Here is a 27,201-nt window from a genome sequence, read left to right as displayed (position 1 = left end):
CCCAAAAGCTTACTCTTTATTAAGCTGTAAACATTTGTCAAAAGTGAAACTGGAATTTAGTTCTATAAAGAGTTCTGAATCTTTGAGAGAAATAGAGTGGAGAAATTATTTTTTCAAGGTTACCTAACATAGGCTGATGAATTAGAAGCAATTCTCCTGAAGTCGGGAGAAAAAACATAAATATAACATGACATGAAAATCTCTCTTCTAGTTCAAAGTTTTGCATTTCAAATTTATCTTTAGTTTGAAAAGAAGTTAAAGTTAGTTAACTGTGAAGTGAAACAAATAATGGAAACAACAAGAGTAGCATTTAAAATGTTACTCGGTAGAAAATAAAGTCTTGCAAAATTGGCATAAACTCATTATTAACTCATAAAATATGTTACTTTGAAATAATTTTGTTTATTATAACTGTATATTGCTTTAAAATGACTTTTAGGGGAATTTTTCTAATTTTTTTTTAGCAAAATAAGGCTAAGTTGAGTGGGTTATAAAATGAATAATTATCCATGAATTGCCATCTCACCTTTCTCTTTGGTGTGATTTCTATTTTTCCTTCCCCCTTTCACATTATTAATAGATAAACGATTTAAAGGAAGTATTGTCAGGTTACTTATTAATATTTAAAATTTAAGCCTGAAATACACTTTAGGATAAGAAGTAGGTATGAAGGTACTTCATTATTAAAATTTTTAAGTTTAAAATTATTGTGTACTAGCTGAAAATATTGAACTTGATCAACATATGTTACCAGCTAGCCTCTTCTCCACCCGATCTTTTGTTATCTTGTTATTGTTATAAGGCTTAATGACAGTTGTAGGCCATAGTTCTGGATGTGGGGGTTATTCTACCCTGGGGAGAAGAGGAGGAAACAGCAGTGTGGATTATGGAAATATGGACTGATCTAAAAAGAGACCTCTTGTAAAAGAATGGAGCTCAAAGAAAAGCTAGGAGAAACTGATGAAAAGATGATGGAATATGATGTGAAAATGATAATTTGAAATCTTTCATTCCCAGCTGCCATGTTTTGGAGAAAAGGAATGCATTTGTATATTAAGAGACAGCTAAAAGAGTCCAGATGAATGGTATTACTTATTAGATATATTTTCATTTTGATTCAGATAAATTATGTGCATTTTAATAGACCTTTACATATTTAGACATTTTAAATCTTAAAGACATAATGTTAGGTATGATATTTCATAAAAATATTTTAAGTAGTATACAATATTTGCTTAATATTTGGGCACCTTTAAATGAACCTAATTTCAAAAATTAACTTCATGGTTGTTAAATTTAAGCATTTTAACTAACTGTGATGGTGAATGTTTTATTTAAAGTATGAATTATTTTGTTACCTTTTAACAATTATTTAAACACACAGTCACATGTTTACTTATGTTTATTTTTCTAGATAAGTGACAATATTGCAGCTTATCTTGGTGAATTAGTACTAAGTGGTAACATACAGCTATATCCTTAGCCTATTTGACCAGACAACAATGCAATCTAGTGGTCATTTTTGTAAAATGCAGACACAGAGTTCATGTGGTTTTAACTAGTTATTGATGTGTTAATAAAGGAAAGGTTGTTCCCTGATTCTAAAGTTTGCAAAAGGTTAGATTAGGGAAAAGTTAGCATGAAAATGTAAAAATAAGGCATATGGTAAGAGGATCATATTTTGAGGGAAGATGATGTTTTTAATTTTGGATGTGCCAGGTATTCTAATAGGAATATCTTCTAAGTAGAAGGAAACCTCTGACTGGAGTTCAGGAAGAGGATGATGGTATGGAATTTACTTCTGTGGATGAACTTACCAGGCAAAGTTTAGGGAAAGAAAAGAATCTCCAAGAACAACTGCTTTTATAGGCCCCAACCTATGTCTTTAAATCCATACTGAAAAATATAATTTGATAATCATACCCTATGACCCTTGTAAATATTTTGGTTTTTAAGAGGTAAACAATATATTTCACTTCCTCCTTTTGATATAACCAGCTAGGATTATTTAATATGTTTTGCATTGCAAATTGTAATAGTCTGAAGTTTTACATGATTGTCTGTGGAGTTATTATTTATAGGATATGGGGCATTAAGGAGGAAGATTAACATCAGATAACTCCAATTTGAGCCATAGGGAATGGAAGAAGTAACAAAATATTAAATTAAGCACAAGAACTTGTTCAAATAACTGCTAATTTCATGTGGTTGGAGTGTGGGATTTATGGAACTTGATACTGAGGCTACAAAGGTAGTTTGGTCAGATTATGAAGAACTTTGTATACTATGCTAACTGCTTTGGCATTGACTAATAGGAAATAACCATAAAATGGTATATATTTAGGAGGCTTCCACATCACATCTATATTTTAAAGAGGTAACTTTAGATTTAGGTGCTTTGAATTGGATAAAAGGAGCCTGTTGGAGACATAGAGACTAGTTAGAAGGCTACGGTAATTGTTTAGTAGAACTGTTGAGAACCTCAACTAGAGAAAGCTTAAAGAGAAAGTGGGAAAGGGAATGGATTTGAGATTTTTTTTTTTTTATTGTGGAGGCACAGATACATGAGATCTACTCTATAAACAAATTGTTAAGTTTATGGTACAGTATTGTTAACTATAAGCACAGTGTTGTATATCAGACCTCTAGAACTTATTCATGTTATATAACTGAACTTTGTACCTGTTGAACAGCAACTTGCCATTTCTCTCTACTCACGGACCCTGGCTGGCAACCAGCATTCTACTTTCTGCTTCTGTGAGTTTGACTATTTTTGATGTCTCATTTAAGTGGAATCATGCAGTATTTGTCTTTTTGAGACTGGCTTATTTCACTTAGTGTAATGTTCTCCAGATTCATTCATGTTGTGGCAAATGACAGGATTTTCTTTCTTTTTTTAAGGCTGAGTAATTTTCCATTGTATGTATATAACACATTTTCACTATCCATTCATCTGTTGATGGACATGTAGGATGTTTCCACATCTTTGCTATTCTGAGTAATGCTACAGAGAACATGGAAGAGCAAATATCCCTTTATGATCCTGATTTCAGTTATTTTGGATAAATACCCAGGAGTGGGAATGCTGGATCATGTGGTAGTTCTATTTTTAATTTTTTGGGAAACTGTTTTCCATAGCTGCTGTAGCATTTGATATTCCCACCAACAGTATACAAGGGTGCCAATTTTCTACACTCTCTCCAACACTTATCTTTGTTTGTTTGTTTATTTGGTTGTTGATAATGGGCATTCTCACAGGTGTGAAATGATATCCAACTGTGATTTGCATTTCCTTCATAATTAGTGATGTTGAGCATGTTTTCATATAACTCTTAGCCATTCGTATGACTTCTTTGGAGAAATGTCTGTTTAAGTCCTTTGATCAATTTTTGATCAGGTCTTTTTTTTTTTTTTTGCTGTTAAGTTATAGGAGTTCCTTATATGCTTTGGATAGTAACCCTTTATCATATGTATGGTTTGCAAATATTTTCTTAGATGTTATAGGTTGCCTTTCACTCTTCAGGATGTTTTCTTTGAGGTGCAGAAGATTTTTAGTTTGATGTAATTCCACTTGTCTATTTTTGCCTTAGTTGCCTGTGCATATGTTTATAAACATCCGTATCATATATCCATGATTGGTGTTGTAGCCAAGAAATTATTGCGAAGACCAATGTCATGAAAGTTTTTCCATGTTTTCTTCTAAGAGCTTTACACTTTTCACGTCTTATGTTTAAGTCTATTTTTTTCATTAAAATATATTTTAATGGGTTTCAAAGTTCTATGACAGATTTTTTTTTGGTCAGGTTATTTCCATTAAGAAGTAATTATTTTAAAGACTAACAACTTAAGAACTCTCACACAAAAAAAACCCAAAAATGTTCCATAAAATGTTCTCCTTTCCTTCGGAAGGTTTTATAATGCATTGCTATCATTAATCAGTTTTTTACTATTAAACTTAAAATGGCCTATTCAGGCAAATACTTCTGGGACTGTTCTTCAACCACTGAATAAAACTAGGGTGCAGGTATTAGGGATAATATTCATTTAGCCTCCTGAACTTTCCAGGCAGACTTGCTGACCTTCCCAACTCTAGCAGCCCTCTTGTCCACTGCTTTGAAGACACCCACAGCAACTGTCTGTCTCATATTATGAACAGTAAAATGACCAAGAGGGAGATGGTCAGAGAAGCTCTCAACACTCCAGCAACCATCTGAACGATGGCAGCATCACTAGATTTCAAGAATTTAGGGTCACCTTCCAGCTTCTTACCAGAGTGGCAATCAATCTTGCTTCAATCAAGCAAACTTGCAAGCAACATAAGCTGTGTGACAGTCAAGTATAGGAGGATAACCAGAACCTATTTGGCCTGGTTGGCTCAAGATAATCATGTGAGCAGTGCAGTCAGCTGCTTCCATTGGTGAGTCATTTTTGCTGTCACCAGCAACATTGCCATGACGAGTATCTTTGACAGACACATTCTTGACATCGAAGCCCACATTATCCTTAGGAAGAGCTTCACTCAAAGCTTTTTGGTGCATTTCAACAGACTCTACTTCAGTTGTAGTGTTAACTGGTGCAAAAGTAGACCACATGCTGGGTTTGAGAATAGCAGTCTCCACTAGCCCCAAAGGGACAATGCCAATATCACCAATTTGTAGACATCAGGTAGGGGCAGACACAAGAGCTTGTCAACTGAATGAATTGATGGTAGGATGCAATTCAGAGCTTTAAGCAGCATGGTTTCACTGGTATCGCCATCTTTACAGGTGTCTTTCCATCTCTTGAGCCAAGGTATGTTAGCACTTGACTCCAGCATATTGTCACCATTCTAACATTGATGGCAGGGACTGTTTCTTGTTCACTGCTGCACCTCAGTGCCAAGCATAGTGCCTGGTAGGTAATAGACTCCTTAAGTTTTGTTGAATTAATAAAGGATGGATTAAAATAAAAAAGAAATTGGCACAAATGCTACTGTAGCAGGTCCGTAGCCAGTTTTCTTAATATGGGTGCTGATTTCCTTAATGATTTTCTCATATCTCTTCTGGCTGTAGGGTGACTCGGTGGAATCTGTTTTGTTAACATGAACAGTTGGTTGTTTTACAATCAATGTGGAAGCCAGAGGGATATGCTCATGAGTCTGCTCATTCTTGGAGATACCAAGTTCAGATTCATCAGCACCAGCAGCAACAGTAAGGATAGCACAGTCAATTTGATATTGACATGATTTGTCTCTGTGTCTCCACCCAAATCTCATCTTGAGTTGTACCTCCCATAATTCCCACATGTTGTGGGAGGGACCTGGTGAGAGATAATTGAATTGTGGGGGCAGTCTCCCCCATACTGTGTTCATGGTAGTGAGTAAGTCTCACGAGATTTGATGGTTTTATAACAGGTTCTCCTTTCACTTTATTCTCTTTCTCTCTTTGCCTGCTGCCATGTAAGACATGACTTTGTTCCTCCCTCGCCTTCTAACATGATTATGAGACCTCCCCAGCCATATGGGACTGTGAGTCCATTAAACCTCCTTTTCTTTATAAATTACCCAGTCTCAGGTATGTCTTTATCAGCAGTGTGAAAATGGACTAATATAATAAATGTTTCTGTAATCATGTTTTTGGTAAATTCTCTGTGTCCTGGGGCATCAATGATAGTCACATAGTAGTATTTGGTGGTCTCAGATTCCCATGTGGAGATATCAGTGGTGATACCATGCTCAAACTCAGCTTTCAATTTATCCAAGACCCAGGCATACCTGAAGGACCCCTTTCCCATCTCAGCAGTCTTGTCCTCACATTTTTTAATGGTTCTTTGGTCAATTCCACCACATTTATAGACTGGATGGCAAGTAGTAATGGACTTGAATGAATCTACATGTCCAGTGATGATGATGTTGATATGAGTCTTTTTCTTTCCCATTTTCGGTTTGATTTAGGGGTAGTTTTCATGACACCTGTATTCTGGTGGCAAACCCTTTGCCAAAAAGCTGCTTAGGTCTTTTGTCCATTTTGAATAGATTTTTGTGTATAGTGTAAGATAAGGGTCAAATTTCATTCTTTTACATGTAGACATCCAGTTTTCCCAAGTGTTTGTTGAAGAGACTATCCTTGCCTCATTGTGTGTTCCTGGTACCCTTGTTGAAAATTAGTTGAACATATTTGCATGGGTTTATTTCTGAGCTCTCTATTTTGTTCCATTGGTTATATGTCTGTCTTTCTGCCAGTACCGTACTGTTTTAATTACTGTAGCTTTGTAATATACTTTGAAATCAGGAAATATGAAGCCTCCACCTTTGTTCTTCTTTCTCAAGATTGTTTTAGCTATTTGGGGTCCTTTGTGGTTCCATATGAATTTTAGGTTTGTTTTTTCTATTTCCATGAAAAATGCCATTGGGATTTTGATAGGGATTGCATTGAATCTGTAGATTGCTTTATGTATTATGGCTATGGTAATGATGTTGAAGTCTTCCAATTCATGAACATGGGATGTCTTTTTATTTATTTGTGTCTCTTAAAATTTATTTCATCAGTGTTTTATAGTTTTTCATTTGCAAATCTTTCATTTCCTTGGTCAATGTTATTCCTAAGTATTTTATTCTTTTTGATCTTATAGTAAATGAGATTGTTTTCTTAATTTGCTTTTCAAATAGTTTGATGTTACTGTATACAGACACAGCTGATTTTGTATGTTGATTTTTATATCCTACAACAAATTTTTCTGAATTTGTTTAGTATGTCTAATAAATTTTTGATGCACTCTTTAGGGTTTTCTACATATAAGGTCATGTCATCTGTGAACAGAAATAATTTTACTTTTCCCTTTCTAATTTGGATGCCCTTTATTTCTTTTTATTGCCGAATTGCTCTGACTGTGACTTCCAGTACTATATTGAATAGAGGTGGTAAGAATAGGCATTTTGGCTTTGTTTCTGATCTTAAGGAAAGACTTCCAGTTTTTCACTATTAAGTCTAATGTTAACTGTGAGTTTTTCATATATGGCCTTCATTATTTTGAGATAGTCTCACCCTGTTTGTAGTTTGTTGAGATTTTTTATTATGAAAAAGTGTTGAATTTTGTCAAATGCCTTTCTGCATCTATTAAGAGATCTTGAAGAAAGTGAAGAGTAAAGAGTTACTGAAATTTCTTGCTTAGAAGATTAGATAAATGGTGATGCTACTAATTAAGGGAAAGTAGAAATTTTTGAAGAAGATAAATAGATAAGTCTTAGACATAATGTGTTTTATTTCTTCAAACATTCTGGTTAAAATATCAAAGTAACAGTTGTTGCAAATGGAAAAAATATGCAGCTCTGAGGAGACATTGGAAGCATCGATAATACTTAGAAAAACCTTACCTAATGCTGCCCCAAGCACTTTACTCTTGTAAATTCATCTAATTATCACTGTAACACCACAAAGTAGCTATTAGTTGTTATCTTATTTTATAGATGAGAAAGCTGAGGCACAGAGAGGCCATGTCACTCGCCTGAGGTTCCACGGCTTTTAAGTGGCAGAACATTGATTTGAGTCAATGCATTCTGAACTCTGTGTTCATGTTCTCAACTATTTATACTATTCTGCTTCAGAAATAAAGACTCCCATTTACTAAGCATTTTAACATGCTAGACATTGTATTGAACATTATTTGTATCATATCAATTATCTAATCCTCAATACAGCTCTTTTATTTCACAGAATAGGAAATTGAAGCAAAGAGAGGAAAAGTTGCATGAACGATTTTACACAGCTGTTAGGTCGTTGAACTGGATTCTGAACCTAGCATTCTGGCTGGAGAGCCCAAGCTTTTATCAGTTGTGTATAGCAGTGAGAGTAGATTCCCCATGGAAAGGTAAGAGCTGAATACAGAGTCCAGAGGGAACACCAATATGAAGAAGGAGTTGTGAAGCGGCCTGAAAAGAAATGACAAAGATAGGAAGAGAGTTACAAAAAAAAAAAAAGAGACAGATATCTAGGAAGATACTTTTCAGTGGGAGGAGATTAGTCTAACATCTTGGTTTTCTTAGATTAAGGAGCAGAGTACTTTCATCTTTGAATCCTAGTTTCATACATAGTACATTTCTTAGTACATTTCTTAATAAACACATGTTAAAGTCATTGAGCGAGGTGTCACACATTGTAGAAAAGTTAAATATGATAAAGAATGGAAAAGGGCTACTAAATGTAGAAACTAGAGATTACTAGTGGCAGCAGGCTGAGAAAACTCAGTAGCAAAATGTGGTAGAGACTTGTTGAATGTATTATGCTTTCAAGGACATTTTCAGTGAAAGGAATAACTATTTTAGTTATTCTTTTTAGCTGATCTAAGGTTAAGTCTAACTTTACAGAATTTACCTTAATCTGCTTTTATAAATTAGTCATTCCTGTTTTATTTTGTCCCTTATTTATGATATATTTCCGTAAAATGTAAGAATAAGTAGAAGGCATGATATAATTTATTCAGGAGAATTATTTATTTTTAACTGAGAAAGCTTATTAAGGAATTTTATTTATAGTTCCTCCCTTATTGAGTAAAATCCTCTGTAAGAGACTTAGGAAATTGTGTTTTCTCTTTAAGTTCTCTTGTGCCAAAGCAGACTAGACTGGAGTGATCAAAACTCATTGCTATTTGGTGAGGGCTCTTTGATGGCTTTCTGTTATGTAAAAACAACTGGTATTCATATTTCAGTTTATCGTAGAAAGCATTCTACATGATAAGAACTAAGAACAAAATTGGCATCTTCACTTATAAACTCAGCAAGAGGCCAAAGATTACATCAGCAGGAAGTGTGAACTAAATTTTTATTCCAAGAGGTTGGTCTTCTATAATGGATAAGGTAGTATAAGTTTGCAAAATATTAGCTCCCAATATTTCTATTTGGAATTTCAAGAAACACTCAATTAAAAAAAAAACACTTAGGACTTCAGATTTTAAATTTTGGGGCTGGTCTGAGTGCAGTAGTTCTTACAACTAATTGATCACTATCAGTTAACATTTCTTTGTTCCTTCTCTACTTCCACTACTTCGTTTGACTAGCCTTAAAAAATGAATACATAAATAACATTAATGGGCATGTGCATTTTTGTAGAAGAAAAATCTTGTGTAATTTAAGATAACCTAAAAATACAGAACATAATTAGGATCTCCTAGATTCCTGATTTTTTTTTAGTACACCTTGCTGACTAAATAAAACCTGAATATAATTTTATTTTACTTGCTAAGTACTTAGTTCCTGCTTTAAGTTGAAGGAGTTATAAGAAGTCTAACAAAGTTTACTGAATAAAATTGCTGAAAGTATAACAACTGACCCCAGGTTGTCTCCCTTCCAAGTTACTTGTCTTTATCTGACCACCAGGTATAGACAGCTTTGTCTTATTTACAGATTCCCAATCCTGAGCTTAAGATGAAATAGTCTGTCAACCATATATTTCTCTATTATTATTGACCTTGCTTAATCTCATCCTGCCTGTTATTCTAGTATTATTTATTTGTTCTGATATGACTCTTGTTCTCAATATGACATATAATTTGCTTCAGTTTTTGTTTTGTTTTGTTTTGTTTTTTGAGATGGAGTCTCACACTGTCACCCAGGTTAAAGTGCAGTGGTGCGATCTCGGCTCACTGCAACCTCTGCCCCCTGGGTTCAAGCGATTCTCCTGCCTCAGCCTCCCGAGTAGCTGGGATTACCGGCACCCACTGCCACACCCAGCTAATTTTTTGTATTTTTAGTAGAGACGGGGTTTTACCATGTTGCCCAGGCTGGTCTCGAACTCTTGACCTCGTGATTCACCTGCCTCAGCCTTCCAGAGTGCTGGGATTACAGGCATGAGCCACTGTGCCTGGTCCAGATTTTAAATAAAATGCCTCAAATTTAATTACTTGGTGTTTTGCTCATCTGTGAGAATCAGTTTAAGCTCTTATTTATAAGTCTATTACTTGAAAAGAGTTAAATATATGTTTTTACTGTAAATCTGATATTCTTAGTAGTAACAGATAAGCAGAGATATAAGTAGCATCTTTTTTTGGCCTCACGGTATAATTTCAAGGGAATAGAACAATCTATGGCAGATAAGACTCACATTTGTTATGACATATTGTCTCATCTCCTACCATTCTTTCATACCCCATCCCTTTATTTTTTATACACCAGATTAAACCTTGGTTCTGAAGTATTTATTGCATAATCTTAACTCTTCATATATATGGATAATATACATTGTATAAGGATCAAGGAGGCATCACATTTAGGCATCTGCTGATTATCGATTGCAATCTCGATGAAAACAATGTAAAAAAATACATAGGGTTGGGGCATAATGGTTTGAAGCTTCAGGCTTTGTTTTCAAATCCTAACTCTATTATTTGCTAGCTGTTTGACTTTGGACAAGCTACTTAGCCTCTCAGTCGCTCTATTTAATTTTTTTTCACACATAAAAGGGAATGAAACATGGGTTGTTGTAAGGTTAAATGGGATAATGTATGCTAAGTGCTTAGGTCAGAACTTGGCACAGAGTAAGCATTTATTTTATCTTGTCTTTATTAGGAAGATAAAGCAAGCATGCAGACTCTTTTAAATCATATTACTTGAAATGTCTATCAGGGCAAATTGATTCTGATGGTGCTAAAGTGGTGTCGTTTTACATGAGTTCAGATTTTTTCTTAGCATGAGTAATGTGCCAGGCACTGATTAGGCCCTAGGGCACCTCCGAAGTTGAAAACAGCCGCAAAAACTTTGGAGACATACTTGTTCCAACTGATCTTTCCAACTGTAACAAATAGAGCTTTCTGATTCACCACTAACTCCATTGATCTGGTTGCTAACTAATCAATCACATATTGTGATTATAAAATCAAAAGTGGTTGAACACATTAAAACCTATGTCTTGATACAAGTGGTTAGGAAAATAAAGATATATGTTTTCATCGTTGTAAGAGAAAATTTAGTGATTTCATGCTTGAGAATATGATAATAAAGTTGCTTATTGATGGGAGTATAAAAATATGAAGAAGGATATTTATCTTTCGTAACATTGGAGAATACAATACTAATATCTCTTACTGCTTTTATATCTTTTAATCAGTGCGAGTCCCAGACCAGGTTCTCTCTGTGGAGCACCAGAAATTTTATCCAGCTACCTCTTGTATGTCTCCGTTTTTACTCCTCTGTATATCTCAGTTTTGTGCCTGTTTCTGCATTCTTGCTGCAGCTATCTTATTTCAGGCCAGCACCATACACTTCAATTACTGTAAAAGCCTTATATCTGATCCCCCAGCATTTAGTCTTGCCCCTTTTCAGCCTTCTCACACTATAGCCAGAGTGATCTTGCTAAAATTGAAGTCCAATCATATCCCTTCCTTGCTTTAAACCCTTCAAATTGCCTTTATTTCTCTTAGGGTAGCCATATGATTTATTGTTCAAACTGAGATATTTATTAATTTATTTTTCAGCTATAATTTAGATGTAGTCAAATGCAGATCTTAAATATACAATGAGATTAGTTTTGACATATGCATACAACTGTGTAACCCATATTCTTTTCAAGATACCTTGTATTAATCTATCACTCCAGGAAGTCCCCTCCTGCTGCTTCCTGGTTAATCTATTTAATATCCATTCTGATTCCTCATTCCACTCCTCCCCCTACCCCAGACAAACACTCGCTGATTTCCACTGATGTAAATTATAACTCAGATACTTTTGAAAGTAAAAGAGAATGCTACTGATAATTATAATGAGAAGATACATGTAAAGTGTTGCCAGGAGGAATGGTTTCCTTACCCTTTGTATTAAGTCCAAAATTTTTAATTGGCCTAAAGGCCTTATATAATCAGTCCCCTGGTTATTTCTCAATCCAGTTTGTCTTATTACTATCTCAACATTTGTACTTCTTTTTCAACTCCAGACCTTTCTTTGCACATATGTTTTCCTGTGATGGAAGGACCACCCCTACTTCCCCTCCACCGCTCTTTCCTCATGCTGTAGCCTGGCCAACTTCTTATTCGCTCTTCATTTCTCTATTTACATAGGATTTCTTCCTTTGGGACTTTTCTCCTAGACCTGCCACACATTGATTTATATGTCTGTCTTCTAGAGTCCCTACTATTTTTCAATTTTCCTACCAATGCTCTTCTTACTCTATGTTGTTATTAGCCGCGATTGCTATTCTAATGTATTAAATATTTGCAAAGTGAATATACATAAAAATTAGTTATTTGTATAATTTCACATTGAGTTTGTAAATATATGAGTGGAACTGACTAGACTTTATACCTTTTAAGTAAATAGTCTTCATTAAATAATCTGTTTTTAAAAATTGTGTAATTATAATTTAGTTCCTCTAGACAAAGCTTCCAAATAACTGAATGAACAATCAGTTATGATTTTTCCAAACTTTTCAAATACACCATGAATCTCATTTCTACTGGGTGATCTCATAGACTTCCAGGACATTCAAGGCTTAAATAAATAATTAATAATATGCCACTGACGCCAGAATATAAGAACTAGCTAAAGGTATATTTTCAGACACTTTAAAATGTAGGGTCCCTGATTTATTCTTGAAAACTAAAGGCCTTATTTTTTCTTGAAGCAACTAGATAAACCACAAGAGTCCTATCTGGTTTATCACAGGATTTACTATTTCGGGAAAACAAGCAGTTTAGGGATAGTTCTGAACTAGGTTCCAGGCAGGACCAGAAAAACAAAAACAAAAACAAAAACAAAAAAACCAAGGTTAATTATAATTTATTGCTCTGAAACATATTTTATCACTATGTTCCATCTGTTGCACAAAAATCAGTTTTCTAATATATGGCCTGGGCAGTTAATGGAGAATATTTGCATGAATATGATGACAGAAAGATAGTATGAACATAGACTAGGTGTGAGGACTAAGAGAAATAATGTGGTGGTTTGGTGTCTACAAGACTGAGGAGAAATGTAAAATAGAGACTGACAAAGAACAAAGAATGATTGCTTCAAAAGTAAAATAGAAACCAAAATTCTGTAATACAAGGCAATGATAGAAAAAGGATGTTCTCTAAGGTTATCTTTAGCAATACCCTTTGTCAAGATAGTTGAAGACAAAGTCTGAAGACAAAGCCTACTTTTAGGTTGTAGATGAGACCAATAAATACTTCTGTTTCTCAAACTGGCCAGTGCCTTATGTAGAGTTGGTGATTAATCTTTATGATTGGATTGTTGAATAAGTACATGAATAAAAGAATTTGATCAGTATGTCCCCCTTAAATTGAAAATATCTGTTGATATGACTCTGAAGGTATTTTTAATTTGAAAGAAAGCAGCTAATGTAGTAGTCCAAAGTAAGCTTTTTGTGTGTGATGAAATCATCAGATATGTACATCGGATAACTTTGCAATGTTAACAGTGTTTGCTTCTATTGTGTTTGGTTAGATAGAAGTAGTTGCATATATTCAAATATATATTTGTACATACATCTGTATCTATATCCATACCTACTTACAAAATGCATGAAAAAATCTTCAAAAGAGCAGATAAGTTATTCAGTATAATGCTTTTCATCATATTATATCTCAGTATGTTAAAGTTTTGGCAACAGGCATTGGACACAGGACCTTTAATATTGTACTGTACTTAGTAAACACTTGTTAAATATATATGAATTTAAATTCATATAACAAGAGTTATTAGAACAAATAGCTGACTAATAAAAGAGCTAACAGTTGTTGGGGGTGGTTAATGTGCTTGATATTATCCTAATCATTTTATATGGATTTTTATTTTATTTTCACTTAATCCTCATATAAATTCCTCAAATAAATCCTTGTGTGATCTTATGAGATAGACAGTAATTTTTGCCCATTTCCTAGATGAGGAAACTGGAGCACATAACCAGTAGTTTGCAGAACCAGAATTTGAATGAGTTAAGTACGTCATACACTTGGCTACTTTGATATGCTGCCTAATGTGTGTGTGCTTGTGTACATGTGAATATCCATCTATTTTCTTTTTTAAATCTAAGAATATAATTTTATTTTATTTTCAATAAAACACATACTTTAAAATGTACATATTTATTGGGTTGCACACATCTATTTTCTAATGATCTCAAGTCTCCCTAGTTTTGAAAATTAGGAATTGTATTTCCTTTACTCTCGATAGCACATAACTGTGGGTTGGAGTCATGGTAACTGATCATTAGTCAACTGCTGTAAAACTTTTTCTAAAACTTGAAGCATTTTCCTACTTATCTTAAGTCTACTTATCTTGATTTAAATGATTGCTTGATATTCATTTAAAAATACATTAGTATCTAGAAATGTAAGCAAATATTATGGGGAGTGTTCTATTTTATGATCTATTTCCTTTGATCTAGAAAATATTACTAGTTAGTATAGGAGTGAATGAAGCGGAGATATATTTAGTCTGAAGGGGGTAGGACGTTATATGGTCATCAAGGGAAAAGAGTGGTAGTCTTCCCAAATGTCTTTTTCTTAGATAGAGCTGGGTAATTTCTATTCAAATCTCTGCTTAAAAGCTAGTGTTAACCTGGGGACACAACTTTTTTTAAGAGAGAGGGTCCCTGTCACCTAGTGAAGTGGAGTCAAGTAGTGCGATCACCTCCAGGGCTGAAGCAATCCTTCCACCTCAACATCTTGAGCAGCTGGGACTATAGGTGCATGCCACCATGCCTGGCTAATTTTTATATATTTTTTAGAAACAGGGTTTCACCATGTTGCCCAGGCTGGTCTCGAACTCCTTGGCTCAAGCAATCCGCCTGCCTTGGCCTCCTAAAGTGCTGGGATTACAGGTGTGAGCCACCATGCCTGGCTGGGGCATAACTTTGAAGACAGTTTTTAATAGAATTTTTGAAAAAAAAAAAAAAAAAAAACAACCCTTGGAAACCCATATTCTTATATATACACTTTGATTTTTTAAAATACTTCTCTTTCTTAAACTAATGAGAATAAATGTATTTTGCCTTTTATTTGCCAAGCACACCACTTGTCTTGTTGTAAATATAGATAATATATATAAATATATACATACACAAAATATTTAGATACATATATATTTTTATAATATATGTAAGTACATAAATACATGGAATATATGTGTGTATATATAATCCTATTGGTTTGGGATCCCCATGGATACCAAAATTCCACAGATGCTTAAGTCCTTTATATAAAATGGGACTTCTGTTTTGCATGTAACTATGCACATCCTGCCATATATTTTAGATCATCTCTAGATTTCTTATACTATCTAATACAGTGTAAATGCTCTATTAATAGTTGTTATAGTATATTGGTTTTTTATATGTATTATTTGTATTTTTTCCAAATATTTTTAATCCACAGTTGGTTGAATCTGCAGATGCATAGTCTTCTGATTTTTTTTTTTTTGGTAATGTCACTCTGCACTGCTTCCAATCTAGTCTTTTTCATTGACATTGGATCAAACTAAAGTGATTGCATAGGTTTCATCACCTAAGACTTATGCACATAGAACTGAAATTTCTGAAATTTATATTTTATAACATAGTTCTTTTTATGGCAGAATGTATTTGCTTCATGGCAGTTATTTTAATATTCTAATAATATAAATTTATTTTAAATTCTTGATAGTGAAAAATAACTTGATCAGATTTAATAACCTATGTAGTTTTAGTGTTGGAATTCACAGACTTAGAGTGCTTTCCCTAATTTAAGGAGGAGGGGTAAAATAGGGATTTATTTCTAACAAAAACACTACGTAAAAGTAAAATCCAAGAGAAAAATTCCACACTGGGCATAGTTGTCCTGACAGTTCCTTTTTGGCCCTAAGTTTAAAAATATATTCTCCAAGGGACATGGATGAAGCTGGAAACCATCATCCTCAGAAAACTTAACACAGGACTAGAAAACCAAACACTGCATATTCTCACTCATAAGTGGGAGCAGAACACTTCTTAAAAATAAAAGATGATAGGCTGTCTCTGTAATTTGACAAATTAATATAATTCTCCCTATAAAATGCATTTTGATTTAATCACCCTGTTAATATAACTTTGTTTCCCTTGAAAATTTAAAATATCTGACGGTGTCCCTGAGAGTTTGCTGTGGTGCCCTGGAACATCTAAGTGCTGTTCGGGAATCTCAGTTATTACTCTCTTGTGTAAAGTATAAATAAATTGAATGAATGTGTAGTATTAGGTAATTCTCACTTATTTGGGGGATAATATTCAAAATTAAGTAATCATCTTTTCAGAAATTCATGGCCTTTGTGAAAAATTCGATTAAAATGGACAAGTAGCTCATTTAGTTGTAGCAAAATGATTCTGAAAGTGTTATTCATATGAAATAAAATTACAGATAGTTTAAAATTGTCCTTATATGATATGGTGTAATATTTTTATTGAGAACTTTAGTATAAACATAATATTTGATTAATATCATTATGAGGATTCTTAAGAAATAAAATATAATATACTTCACTCGTATTTCTCTGTAATTACATGTGTCATGGTTATCGGGAGACGAATGGGTTGAATTCTGACTTTTACTCTAACTAGTCTAAGGCTAAACTGAGCATAGATAACCATTTCCCTTGCCAGGGATTAGTTTAGGAGTGGCTTATGACCCTGTGGCTAATTAAATGTAATGGGAAAGTCAGGGATCAGACTTCTGGGAGAGGTTTCCTCACTGATAAAAAGACTGACAGAAAGGGAGGCTTCCTTCACTGAACACTGCTGTATCTTCATGAGATGTGCTGAACTCTGGAAGCTCATTTTGTGATCATGAGTAGAGATAGCTGAGGAAAAAGCCAACGAATTTAGCCCAGCAGGGCAGGAGGGAAGACTTCTGGGTCCATGAGGTAGCTGTTGAATTAAACAGTCTCTGAACAAGTCAACCATGTCATTTCTTGCTATGAGAGTATAACTTTTCCTTATATACATTAAGCACCCTTAACTGATGTAGTTACTCCTAGTCCTTAATTATTGGTGGTATTCAAACTGAAGTTAAAGACTCAGGACCCTTGTGGGTTTCGTGTAGGCAATCAAATTTGTGTTTTGAAAAACACTCCCAAGTGATTCTAAAACCTCTTCATCTTCTTTCTAATCCTTTCCACCCTCCATTGAGAACATCTGGAGCAAGATAGTTATGAAATTGAATGAAAGGACTTGGTGAGTGATTAATTATATGTGGGGGTCAGGGAAAAGGAGGGGTCATGGTAACTACCGTGTTTCTGATTTGGGTAACTAGGTAGATGGTGCTGCCAGTTTAGGTGATAAGGACCGTAAGTAAAAGAACAACTTTGGTTTTGTACATTCTTCATTAGAGGTGTCTGGGAACATTTAGAAAGTCATACCAGAAAGTAGTTAGAGCCATAATCCTGGAGAAATATCTAAACTACAAGACTAAGAGATTTAGTAGTTGTAGTTGAAACTGTGGGTATAGATGAGATTGCTTACAGGTATATCTTACTGAGTAGGGAAGAGAAGAAACTATGCAATTTCAGAGAACGCTCTGAAATTTCAGTGTACAGTGGAGGACAAAAGTGGTTGAGAAGGAGGAAAAACAATTAGTGGTATCGACAATGACACATCTCATTTTATCTTAGATTATTCTCAGATAAATTCAAAGACCTTTGTTCTAAGAATAAATTCTAAGAACTTTGATCAAGATGTAAACGTTAGTGTTTTTTTTTGAAGTAAATTCTTTCTTAAATGCTTGTTTTCCTTTTCAGTTGATCAATTTATGGTGCTAAATGGTAACCTGATGGGATAAATAATTAATATACCACTCTAACACTAGCAATTGGCCCTAGTTCTCTCTTACAAGATCAATTTCATTGTAATGCTTATTACTAGAGATACACTGGTATGGAACCCAAAACCCCCCAAAATATAAATTTTCATCAGTCCTTGTTTCCAGTCATTAACATGATAGTAGAAGTGCTGTTTTAGGACATACACAGAAATATGTATTATTACCTCTTTCATTTTGCTGTTCATAATTTTGTATTCTATTCCATCCATTCTTTTTATTATTCCTATTTTTATCATTTGACATGTGTTAGCCAATATACTCTTTTGGCATAAAAATAAAATATTTTGGAGAGTTAGGAGGATTCTGAATCCAAAATAATTTTTCTTGTTTTCTTTAAATGCAAAAGTCTGTAGAAAAAGGAAAAATTGATAACTTCTGGAGAGTATTGTCTTAAACCTTTCACATAATCTGTGGATGCTAACCTAGGATTTCGTGTGTGCGTGTGTGTGTGTGTGTTTGTATATGTGTCATATTAAAAACACTGTGTAGTGAAAATACCAGCCTTCACACACACTTTTGTAATAAATGTGGAAGTATAATTTTCAATTAATACTATTGCTAAGAGGATCCATAAAAGCTATTTGCATGCATTTTATGCCTCCTTCCAAGTCTCTCTCTTTTCTTTTTACACTTCAGTTTCAATAGCACCTGTAATTAAGGAAGAAAACCAAGCCCTGGGAGCTAGGTAGGACTTCCAGCTATTGATCTGTGTAAACCCAGTTTATACTGTCAGGGGAGAAACAGTCAACTGCTGAGCTGCTTTGTCACTGACATAAGCTGAGAGAGGATTTTTTTTTTTTTTTGTCTATACTGTTTATACACTAGTCTATAGACCTGCTGGCTGGTTGAATTTTAAAGAGTGCGGAGGTTTAAAGACTTGTCCCCTGAGGGATGCTTCTGCCAGTTGGGAAGCGAGCTGAGGCTGTTTCACAGAAGTGTATGCACGTGTGTTGCTTGTGGAAGAAGGGAGGGGGAGGGTGTGAAAGATTGAGCAACTAACTGGGAAGCGTTCGTCTTGAGTCTTAAAATTGATGTGAAATATATTACTAATTTGTGTATTTAGAGGGAGATATTGAATTTTGAATATATGTTCTTTATTGTTACAGAAATTATGTGGACAATTTTATAGGAGGAGGTCTGAATAGTGTTCACATGTATAGTAAAAATGGTGAATGGTTTCACTTTATGAAGTACAAGATAAGGATTAAGCAATGGTCAAATGAAAATGAACTGGTCTCATTTGCAATGAACTGTTTTTCAGTTTACAGAATTTAACTTACTGCAAGTTTAGTGACTCTTTTAACTACATTTAACAAAATATTGTCAGTGGTGAAACAGTTAGCTTTCGCTTAATATAGAGTCTGTGCTCATATTTTTAAAGGTACATGATTATGATTATAAGCAATCCAGGGTACCCTGCCCTAAGAGTAGATGATTTTTTTTTTTACAAGATCCTTTTCTTTCTGCTTATGTGCATTAAGGCACTGAAGCTTTCTTAGGTATTGGTATTGGAATTTTATAATGTTTTATTTTTAGTTGACACTTTATTGTAGTCTACCTTTTTAAAAGAATGCAAGAAATTCTACTTTAAAACACTCAATGCTATATTTATGTATACGGTTTAAATATTCAGATATTGATGACTTCTGTAGACCTTAGTTTTAGTGGCAAAGAAGTGGTAGCAAAAATATTGTTCAGTGAGGATGACTGCTGCATTAAGATATTTGCTCTTTTTTCTTTTTAATGGGAAACATCCTTATAAAATTCTTTGTCTTGTAAAATTGCCTGACTTTGAAGTTGTATGATGTTGTCTTCAAGTTTAAAGTTTAACTTTTGAATCAGACTTAATTTTATTTTTCAAATATAACAAAATAGATTATTAAGACTTTGTTTGCCAAGTAGCTGATAATTATTTGTATTTTATTATAATTTTTAATGTGTATGGTTTCTAAAAGATTTTGAAATTATTTTTAATGACTGTTAAATAACTGAAGGTTTCAAAATCATTCAGATTATTTTCTGTGTTTTATTAAAGCATTGATTTTCATATTAGGCAATCCTTAAATGAAAGTGCACAGAATAGAAGCTGTATTTTTGACAGCTTGTTTTTAGATACACATTTCTTTAAGAGTGTTAAGATAAAACTTAATACCAAGAATTGAATCATGTAAATGTTTCTTTGGCTATAGAAAGTCTCTCTCTCTTTTTTTTTTTTTTTAACTGTTTGACTATGGGACATGTAGAGTTGTTATACCTCTCAGTAATTCATTCTGCTGCCAACTTCATTCCCTTTTCTCTGCCTGCATTTTAATTGAAACAACATTTATATTTTTGAGCCAGGATCTGTCAGAAGTCCCTATGGCTAGACTGTGGTACAAGTAGCAGCAGACGTAGCTTACCCATATGGTGCGGTGCTTCTTGTAAAATCCATATGGCCTTGTTGAAGGGAATCCCAGCGGGGATGTGAAGGGTGTTAATACCCTTCAGGCCAGGCCTTTCCCCCCTGGGGTTTCTGTGGCATTGTCAGTGCAATCTGCCAAAGCACAAACTTAATTCCTTTTTAATAATCAATTATTTTAGTCTAGGAACCTGTGCTATTTTTCTTAAGGACAAAGAAAGCATCTTTTTCTCCTAGAAAATGTCTCAAAGAAGTTTTAACTGCTTCTTAAAAAATATTCTAAAACTTATTTCTTTTTTTTGAAATTTCCATTTGTAGGAAATACTACAGAGTGTGCCAAAGTTCTGTTTTCCCTTTGACGTTGAAAGGTACAGTATAAGTATCATTTAAAATAAATGTAGATTCTTATAGTACATACTTGAAAATGATTACATGTGCTTTTTTATAAAATAAAATGTCCCTTCTCTTTATTGCTTCTCACAAAAAGGCTAGAGATTGAAAAGAGGTTGAAAATTAATTAATATGTGGAAGAGGAAGCCTTTTAAATCACATCTTTTATTTTCTCTACTATGACCAGTTAAGACAAGTTTGAAAACACATTACCAACAGGTTCTATTTTTTCCCTTTGTTCTCTCTTCAGGTAGAAATTGTGATCACTAGTGGAAAAAAATACTAATATGACCTTGATTGGAGTCTTAGAATTATGTCTTGATGTATGTTTCCTGGTTTCTATCTCACTTCATCCTCATTGAAAAGACCATCTGTGTCATGCTGTAAAACTCATGGCTACTTGTCTCTCAATAATAGCTTTATAGAGGTAGTGTAATATTATGGAAAGCTATAGGGAAACTCCTCTAGTTTTGAAAATCTTGTTTTTATATTTCACTGAACAAATACTGAATGATGAAATTGCATAGAGTTGAAATTTCTTGGAACATACAGCCCTGTGAGCATAACAACAGATCGTTTATTGTTTTTCATGTGATTTTTATACTCTATTTTCAGTTTACTTAAGAGGGTGACATGAAGGGTTTTTGAAAGAATGTTTATTTTAGGAAAATACTTCGCTAAAGTATTAGTGAGACTTTATGATTTTACTGTATTAAAGATAAAGCCTTCTGAATGATGGACTAATCAGTACTAATAAGCATTGTTGATGAATGATACTCCTTGTTTTACCTTATCTGAGGAATCATTGCCCTACCCCTACCAAAAAAAGTTACACGTTTCATATTAATAGTAAGGAAGATTTAGGATCCAGCTACAAAAAGGATATTATGAATCTTGGGCACTAGAGGTCACATTTGTCACTAGAGGGTTTTTTTTTTATTTTAAGTTTATTAAAGTGTAAGAAAAACCTATCCACTGAAAAGTGTAGTTGTTAAATGTTCAGCATTTGAAATGCAACATTTCCTGACAAAACTGTTTGTAGCATTGATACTGGCAGTAATTTATTTCCTTCTGCACAATCCCTATGGCTATTTCAAAACCAAAGTGTAGGCGTCATGGATATTTTATTTTGGGACAAGGAAGCAAAAGTTCGGTTATGGTTATCTAATGGCAAGATTACAGCCAGTACTAGGAAATATATTCATATATTTTAAATAGAAATAAAGATTCAATCTAACGTTTTATATTGCCCCTTATACCAAAGTGTGACACATATTATGGTAGTATGATACTTCAAAGTTGACTAGAATTCTTTACAGCTTAGCTGATAAGCCTTTTATTTTGGTAGAAATTATATTCTTATTTTATACTTGGAAATGTATTCCTCAGTATATTGATAGCTGTACAAGAGAATTCTAGAAAAAATATAACAAGGGTATTTTTGTAGGGTACTTTATTGGATGAGAATGTCAACAGGAGAAGCAATTAAACAGAGTTGGTGGTGGCTGCCATTAGATTCTAAAGCGACATGATTTGCTATCTAAGCAATTTTAGAATAATTAAGAAAAGAGGCTAAAGTTGAAGAAAAGGACTTAGTCATGATTTCTAGCTGCTTCTACAGTTTCAGTAATAATATTTTGATAATTTATGAAATATGAGCACTTTTAGTCTTATGATCATTTATGGTAGACTACCTTATGATTTCCTAGTGAGAGATTAATATATGCTGAACTGTTCAGTCTATGAGGTATTACAACTTATTTTGGTGTTTACTTTACAAGTTTCACACTTCCTCTAGTTTTAGAACATAGTTCTAGCTTCAAGAACCAACTGATTAGAAAGATGAAACCAATGTCACATATAAATATACTCTTATTTTTGTTTTTCTTGAAGAAAATTGTCAAACAAGGCACAATGTTTCCTAATGTTACTATATTTTAGGGTGTCTCAGAATCAAGTTGGACAGCACTTTACCTTTGTACTGACAGACATTGAAAGTAAACAGAGATTTGGATTCTGCAGACTGACGTCAGGAGGCACAATTTGTTTATGCATCCTTAGGTGAGTATTTGTAGTAAAAAAAATTAGATGCAAAATAGGTAACTATCTCTCTATTGTACTTTGTTATGCTTGGGATGAAGAAAAACTTGTTTTCTTTAAAAACAAGTTGAAAAATAATTTTCCTGATTTTCTGTATACAGAATCAGTTAAGTTTAAAGATTTACCATTAACATAGTGGAACTTTCCTTGAAATAATCGATTTTTTAAAGATTAGTTTTTTGTAGAGTTATTTTTGAAAACTAAATATAAAGAGATGTATTCAAATAATATGAGTTTCACCTATTAAATGGAATACAAAAAAAAATAAGTTAAATTAATGTATGCCCTTTTCTGTCACTGAACCAGAACTTGGATTTTTAAAAGTGAACTGCTGCTTTAAGACAGAGGTTGCAAACTGATGAACCTGGTAGAAGCGTTTAGAGGTTTTCGTTTGGCTACTGGGTGTTTTAAAAATTTTAAAGGACGTTAACCTTATGAATTTGAGGAAGTTTTGTATATAGTTCATATTTCGAATTCCTTTTGAAAAGTGAGGCTATCTACTAATTCTGCCATGGCAACAATAAGCTGGAACTGAATAGCAGATTTTTAGTTGTGTCATGAGCTTGCTAGTTTCCAAAGGTCCTATCTGTCCTGCCTAATTGCTTACATTATCTGCCTTGATTCAGTAGGTAGTTTAGAGTATGTCTCCTGCCTGTGGACTTGGGATCTGAGTTGCTGACTGTTAGGAAGAAAGGGTTCTAAAGGTTAGCATTCTTGCAATATGTCCTGATGAATCAGAAATCCAGATGTAGTCTATAAAAATAGGACTCCAAACTATTATTATAACATGGATATTGGTCAAACTGGATTTCTTAGAAATGCTTATAGGAAAAGAAATAACAATTTATGAAATAACATATTACAAAGAAAACTTTGGTATAAAATCAGTCTTCCTGTTCATTTGCTATTCATATTTAGCTACAGTTATATCATTCATTGAGAGGTTGTTAATTTACTTACAACATTGGTTAGAGCTGGAGAGTTTTTTTCTATCTTTATTCAAAAGTAAGTGCTTAACTGCTTTAGAAGTTATAGAATCGTGAATGTGCCCCCATTCTCTCTTTAGCACAACTTTTTCATCTGGATAAAAATTGTGCTTAAAACTTACACTTTATCCAAAAGAATGTCATGCTTAAAACTGTAGGTTATTTTTTTGAACTTGGAGCAGGTTGGCTGGGCAGTGGGGTTGGAGATGACAGTGTGGGCAATGGTGGGGAGAGTTCCTTTTATCATTGTTTCCTGCTGAAATTTTAAAAGCTACAGTTTAAAGGGGAGTATATCTTTATGCACTGTGCCCGAGATGGATTTGCCCTAATGGAAAGACCAAAGCTGTATATGCTTTCTTATTTTTCTCAATGCATTTTTGAAACTTTTCATTAAAAAATTGAGATTTACAGAAAAATTTTCATGGTACAATAAACTTTTATATAAACATTACCTAGATTCATAAGTTGTTAGCATGCATTTCTCTTCCTCTCTCCCCCTCTCCCCTACTCTTCCTTTCTCTCTCAATACACACACACACACACACACACACACACACACACACACACAGTCTTCCCCCCACCTTTATTGTTGTTTTTGTGCACCCATTTGAGAGTAAACATCATTTTCAGGTAAGATTTGAGTCTGTATTTTATAGCTTACCTCACTGCCTCTAAACTGACCTCCTGATATTTATAATTTAAAAGTCTGAGCCTTTTGTTTTGAACTCTTAAAATACTTTGAATACATTGAACTTATTAATCATTCACAAATAATTATTGAATGTTTAGAATAGTTTCTATAAATGTGCTTGTGGAATAAATATTCTTAGGAATTTCTGTTTAAATTGAGGAAAGCCATCATTACTTGAAAATATTTATACAAAACATGAACTATAACTATTTGTTAATCGACTGAAAGAATAATATAATGTCCATATCGACAACCCAATTGTCATTAATTTGTAGAAAACAAACTCTAAAGCAAATACAATAATCAAATTATTTTTATCTGCGGTTCTAAACTTGTATATGTAGAAGAACGCCTGAATTTTGTGGTATATTCTTTGAAGTAGGAAGAGTTTTTAACCTGCAGAAAATATGATTATATTAGATAAAGATAATGAAAACCAAAAGTAAAATCGTGTATTCCAATAAAGAGAACATTTCACAGTATTATTGAATATTTTATCTTTTATTTAAAATAATGTTTCCTTTTATATTTATTTTTGTCATTTGACAGTGCTTTTGGTAGATAAGAAGTAGGAGGTGTCAAAACTTTATGAAAAAATCATAGAGGAAAATCTTAAATTTAGAAAATTCTATTCTTCAGCTTATTTTTCCTAGTAAATTAGAAAAATATTGCCCTTTTAAGATTTTAATGGCATATCTTAATATTTTTTCTGAAAGACAGTATGTGAAGGGATTCTTTGAGAACAGCTGATTTAGAGAATAACCAGCAAATTAGATAACTATTTAATTTTAATAATGAATGGAGGATTCAAATATAATAGAATTCAGCATCTTATTCAGAAAATTGGAAAATTATAGATAGGTAAATGTCTATTTGTAAGCTATAATCAGTGTATCCCCTGGAAAGGAATTTTGGCAGGTTTCTGTAAGTGCTACAATAAGAGGAGTTATGGTGCTTTTAGTCCGAGTTTATCCACCTAGTTTGATGGGTCCTTCACCACTTTTAGCTTTAAAATTGTTGAAAGGATGGATAAAGCTATAAATGTCAACTAGAAGAAAAAAATTACTGTGGCAGTGAGAGTATACATGGAATCCCTAAAAGATTTGTGTATTTGAGCACATAATGATGAAAATGCTTGTATGGTGACAAGTATAATAAAATCTAAAATGCAAATAATAAACTGGTGGAAATATATTTACAACCACTATAAGAAAGGGTTAATAGCCAAAATACATAATAAGCACCTACAAGTTAATAAGAAAAATAATCTGATAGAAAAATAAGTAAAGCATCTAATAACTTACAGAGGAAATGTAAATAATATATGCAGCTATGCATGATGCTCAGCATTGCTGAGGGTAAAAAAAATGAGCCCATTAAGATTAGCAGAATTGAAAAAATTTTTAAATAAGCATGAGGGAAAACACACTTCATGTGCTGTTTGTAGGACTAAAAAATGGTATAAGCTTTTGAAGGAAAATTTAATAATATCTATTAAAATTATAAAATCTCATATTTCTTCAGTCAGTAATTTCAGTTCTAGGAATTTAAATCCAGGATTATTTCTAAGAGTGAGGAGAAAAGTATGAACAAAGGTATTTATTACAGCATGGTTTATAGTAGGAAAAATGCTAATTAGCTAGATTTAGTCATTCCACAATGTATATGTACTTGAAAACAATGTTTTCAAGTATATACAAACAATGAGAGTAACATGCTGGTGGGAGAGAAGGGAAGGGGTTGTGGGACAGAGAGGAGGTTATACTTGAAAAGAAAGTATACGCAATAAGTACGTAGAATTTTATCTGTCAATTTAAAGAAATAATAAAAAATAAATTTAAAAGTGTTGACAACATGAATGCCCCTCAGTAGGAATTGATTAGGTATATTATGGTACATTTTGTAACCTCCTCTCTGTCCCACTACCCCTTCCCTTCTTTCCCACCAGAATGTTACCCTCATGAGGGCAGGGATTTTTGTCTTTTGTTTACTCATATATTCCCAGTGTCTACAATAGTGCCTGGCACATAATTCTTAATAGACTTGATAGATAATTATTGAATAAATAAATGAATAATGCAGCAACAGTTTTTGCTATTAAGAAAAACATACACATATATACACCCTGACTTAGAGAAATTGTTTATGATCTGTTGTAACATGATGAAAAATTTCAAAATAATATTTATAGTATGTTGTTATATTTGTAGAGAACAAGTTATATGTGTATGTAAATGTATATGTATTTTAAGAAATAGCTAACACATAAATATTTGTATCTTAATATGGGATTGTATGTACTTATAAAAAAGTCTAAAAGGATATACCCTGAATTTTTTTTACTTTATTCACTTCAGCATTTATCTACTTTTTACAATAAGCAAAAATCATTTCAATTTTTTCCTGCTCTAAAACTCTGAGATGTTATGATATAGATAATAAACTATAAATATGGAACCACAGGTATCATATTAAAAATTAGTAGGAATTTAGCTATATTACCAGGTAAAATATGTGCGTGTTTGCAGGATGGGAAATTATCTTACTAGTATGTTTTAGTATAGGCACTCCATACAAGTCAGGTGATCATGGTGACATAGCAGAATTAAGAATGGAATTGGGGGCTTGGTGCAGGGGCCCACGCCTGTAATCCGAGTGCTTTGGGAGGCCGAGGCGGGCGGATTACGAGGTCAAGAAACCCCGTCTCTACTAAAAATACAAAAATTAGCTGGGCGTGGTGGCGCACGCCTATAATCCTAGCTACTTGGGAGGCTGAGGCAGGAGAATCGCTTGAACCCAGGAGGCGGAGGTTGCAGTTAGCTGAGATTGTGCCACTGTACTCTGGC

At 33.5% G+C, this 27,201-nt stretch overlaps 1 protein-coding gene and 1 pseudogene across 16 annotated transcripts in view, besides 1 other annotated feature; one reads left to right on the top strand and one right to left on the bottom strand.

The window, feature by feature from the left end:
* The window catches only part of DENND1B (DENN domain containing 1B), a 277,403-nt gene that overhangs the window by 87,475 nt on the left and 162,727 nt on the right, over window positions 1–27,201 (top strand). For all 16 annotated transcript variants that reach the window (NR_125340.2, XM_011509248.3, XM_047447711.1 and 13 more), the window contains 2 exons: window positions 20,507–20,556; window positions 22,520–22,639. Coding sequence is in view for 13 of the 16 variants with exons in the window: in XM_011509248.3 (XP_011507550.1) it covers window positions 20,507–20,556; window positions 22,520–22,639 (170 nt within the window). In the remaining 3 variants the exon portion in view is untranslated. The remainder of the gene's footprint in view (window positions 1–20,506; window positions 20,557–22,519; window positions 22,640–27,201) is intronic.
* Window positions 3,828–5,983, bottom strand: EEF1A1P32 (eukaryotic translation elongation factor 1 alpha 1 pseudogene 32; annotated as a pseudogene).
* Window positions 20,791–20,991: a silencer, noted in NCBI's record as "peak643 fragment used in MPRA reporter construct". NCBI's record gives its function as "represses an SCP1 promoter by STARR-seq MPRAs in K562 erythroleukemia cells {active_cell/tissue: K562}" and the evidence as "EXISTENCE:reporter gene assay evidence [ECO:0000049][PMID:32103011]".

Source organism: Homo sapiens, chromosome 1 (assembly GCF_000001405.40).
Source record: "Homo sapiens chromosome 1, GRCh38.p14 Primary Assembly".
NCBI classification, from domain to species: Eukaryota; Metazoa; Chordata; class Mammalia; order Primates; family Hominidae; genus Homo; species Homo sapiens.
Note: the sequence above shows the minus strand (reverse complement) of the source record. Positions and strands in the feature narration are given on the sequence as shown.